This window comes from Homo sapiens, chromosome 1, assembly GCF_000001405.40.
Source record: "Homo sapiens chromosome 1, GRCh38.p14 Primary Assembly".
In the NCBI taxonomy this organism is placed as follows: Eukaryota; Metazoa; Chordata; class Mammalia; order Primates; family Hominidae; genus Homo; species Homo sapiens.
The window spans coordinates 106,965,854-106,969,854 of record NC_000001.11 but is presented as its reverse complement, the minus strand read 5'-3'; positions in this window follow the sequence as shown (position 1 = coordinate 106,969,854).

Sequence of the window (4,001 nt, the reverse complement as noted above, 5' to 3'; positions counted from 1 at the left end):
TCCCTTCCAGGATGAAGATTTCTTCATTATCTTTTAAAAAATTCCATTTTTATAACTTACATTCCATTTTAATTTATTCTGTGCATATGTATGTGTATATATGCATATACCCACACACATACATATAGCTCTATCTTTATTTAGTATTTAGACTTCATTCCACCGTGTCTTTTGATGAAGAATAGCAAGATAGTGACAGCTAATAAAGTTATTTATGTTTTTTTGACAATATTGTCTGGTATAGGTAAAAAGAGAACCATTATTCAGTAACAGTTTTCAGCATATACCCGTGGAAGCATAATATTACATTTTGAATGCTTTTGCATCGGTGAGTTAGGAAAAACAATTATGATGAAAATTTAAGATATTCATTTAATTTCTATCAATTCTTCCTTATTATAAAGTAATGCATATTTTAATTCTAGGAACTACTTACCAAAAATGACAAAAGTATAATATAAAGAACAGAAAAAAATATGGAATAGAATGTGTCAAAAATGGTGTCAGTACTTGCTACGATAATTAAAGGTAACAGCCTATTAGTAGGAACTTATGTGTTACTATTGTTGAAGATTTGAATGATATGATCTGTATTTGGATGAAGACTGAAATAGTTTGACCTGTAAGTCTGTTGGCTTTGAATGAGCTCTATACTGTTAAACAAAAACCCATGAAGTTGATAACCTTTATAATGCCAAAAGGGCTGATAGCAGATAGGAACCGTTAACATCTAGTAAGAGCTCATTCTATACAGGCTATATTTTATACATATAATTAACTTCACTTTAGTCCTTTAATTGATTTCATTTTGCATTTGTACATAGTTAGTAAAACTGATAGTTTTATTATCAGTTAGTAAAACTGATTACTGATAGTTAGTAAAACTGATTTTCCTAGTTGGACAATGGCCCCATCATTCATCTCTATGAGAATACCAAGACTTGCAGATATTAAAGTACGTTAGTCAAGATCTCTCAACAAAAGTGGAGGGGAGCCAAGATTCCAACTTAGGCAGTTTGAATCCAGATTCTTATCAATACACAGTGACAATAAAACTGACAAACAAAGGTGTAATGCAGAAACAGAAGGCCAAATACCACGTGTTCTCACTTATAAGTGGGAGCTAAATTTTGAGTATGCATGAACATAAATATGGGAAAAATAGATACTGGGACTACAAGAGGGGCACAGAGAGAGGGAGGCAAGGGCTGAAAAACTACCTATTGTGTACTATGCTCACTACCTGGGTGATGGATTCAGTCATACCCCAAACCTCAGCATTACACAATATTCCTTTGTAACAAATCTGTACAAGTACTCCGATTCTAAAATAAAAGTTGAGGCAAAAACTTAAAAATAACCAACTAATCAACAATAATGCATGCAGATCATTCCTAAATGTTTATCTTTAGCTTGACCTACCTGTATATCCATGTGTCTTTTAGACTTATCCCCTAGAAAGTCTCAGAGTTCCCTCTAATCCACACTGCCAAGCTGAACTCACCATCCTGTACACTAAACCCGCTCCTTCTCCAGTGATTTTCCTAGTTGGACAATGGCCCCATCGTTCATCTATGGCTCAAGCCTGGGAATCAACACTGTCTTCTCTCTTCTCACTTGCTACATCCAATTATTCATTATATAAATTCAATCCTATTACTTAAATACTTTTAAATCCAGTTGCTCTTCTCTATTGCCATGGCCTCCCTCCTGGTCCAGGAGACTATCATTTCTCATGTGGTCAACTGTAAAATTTCCCAGTATTGGCTACTCTTCTTCCAGTTTTGCTCTTTTCCTATCCATTCTCTATGCTTTAATAAGAATGATGTTTTAAAGTTGCATATTTTATTATATAACAGAGCTGGCTTAAAACTTAATATATTTTCATTGTTTTGGATAAAGTCCGACCTCCTTAATATGCTTACAAGTTCAGCTCTCTGCTTACCCTTCTGTCCCCAAGCCCACATCATCTTATGCCATGATCTCCTCCCATCTCATGTGATAGTCATGCTGTTTTTCTTTTGGTGTTTGCTTTTACCTTTACTGCTTCAGGATCTTTACACAGTCATTTGGAAGTTACTTATCAATCACTTCCTAAATGATAGTGACTGTTCTGAGCACTATGGAACAGTGGTGAGCAAGACTGACAAAGTCCCTGCCCTCATGGAAATTTTATTTTAATGATTTTGAGGGACAGACAGTCAACCAAGAGAATGATGTATTTCCGAAAGGTGGTGAGTTCTATTAAGAGAACAGGGCAATGGGACAGAGTGAGTGGAGGTCTGGGGTGGTGGATTCTAGGATACACATGAGTTTCTAGATGCCTGGAATATTCTTACAGTCTTCTCTTGCCATCTCACCCTGCTTTCCAGACCATGCCTGGCTAACTCCTACTTATATTGCAGTTCTGAGCTTAATCATCACTTGATTGAAAGGCTTTTCTTGACTTCTCCTCTATCCAGACTAGAATGGGTCTATTGTGCATGCCCCAAGTTCTCTGCTTGCTCTTTTGTAATATTCATCATGCTTTGAATTATTTAAAATCCATTTCCTATACTCTAAATTTCATGAAAAAGAACTATTTATTTCTGGTTATACTTCAGTACAAAAGACAGACCCATAAAGCTCTACTCAATGAGCTTGTATTCTTATTAATGTTTGGGAAATCACATAAATAAATAAGGTAATACCAGTTAGTTAAAAGATATCAATATTTGACTGATTATAAGTTTAGCAAATACAAAGTGTAGTTTTTTTCTTTTTTAAACAATCTATAAGTAATGAACCTCCCCTGTCTGGAGTGTTAGGGATAGCTTTCCTAAGGAAGTGACAATTAGGCTGAGGCCTAGATGAGAAGAGTTAGCTAGGTGAAGATCTGACTTGGCTACATGAGAATATATCTCAGCACACCATGGTGGGGAGGCATAGGGATCAAGGAAAGGGTGATACTTAAATTGGGAGTCAAAGGAGTTTCCCTGAGGAGGTAAAATTTGAGTTGAGACCTCAATGGCAAGAATAAATCAGCCATGTGACTATCAGAACAGTGGACTTTCAGAAGGAGAGAAGATACAAAAGCCCTGTGACAGGAATGAGCCTGGTGTAGCCTAGGAAAACCAAAAGGGCTATCCTGTGTGAGTGTGGTAATGAAGGTGGATAAGGGTGAGAGATAAGGTCTGGTCTGAAGGCAGGCAGAGGTCAGATCACAGTGGGCCTTGCTGGCCACTGCAAAGAACTTAGACTTTATTCTGAGTGCACTGAAAAACCTGTATGATTTAAGGTGGGACAGTGGTGTGACATAATTTATATTTTAAGTATATTACTCTGGCTGTGGTAGAGAGAAAGGATTTTAGGAGGCAGGAGAGTAAACAATAAGAACAGTTAAAAGCTCACAAGTAACATAAGTGATCACCTCTGTAATATGAATGAAGGGTCAGAAAGAAAGGAATGTTGTGCATTCTGTCACAGAGATTATTTTTTTGGGGAACAAAGAAGCAAGGTGCAGTGAAAATATTTAGGATTCCGGCCGACTTGGTTTTAAACTGGAGCCTAGCTATGGGACTTTGAACAGGTAATTTATAAAATGAGAACAATAATCCATACCTCATAGGGTTATTAAGAACACCACTAAGGAAATGTTTTTGATCTCATCATAGTACTGGTACCTGAAACGGACTAAAAAACATGTTTCTTTTCTTCCCCTTTTAAAGACAAATATTCCCTGTGAGGAATAATATCTTACGGGACCAGTGACTATTAATTTAACAGCAATGACCAGCATTTCATGAGGGCCCACCATTTTCCAGGCACTGTGCTGGGTGCTGAGGCCACAGCAGGAAACAAGACAGACTAATTTCCTTTTCACAAGTATCTAATAGTACAGCAAGAAAGATAGACATTAAACACGTGGTTACACAAAGAGTTATATGATCGTAGTCGTGATGAATCTTGAAAAGAACAAAGTTCTTTAAAGCGTATAATAGTAAGACCATCTAATCTTAAGT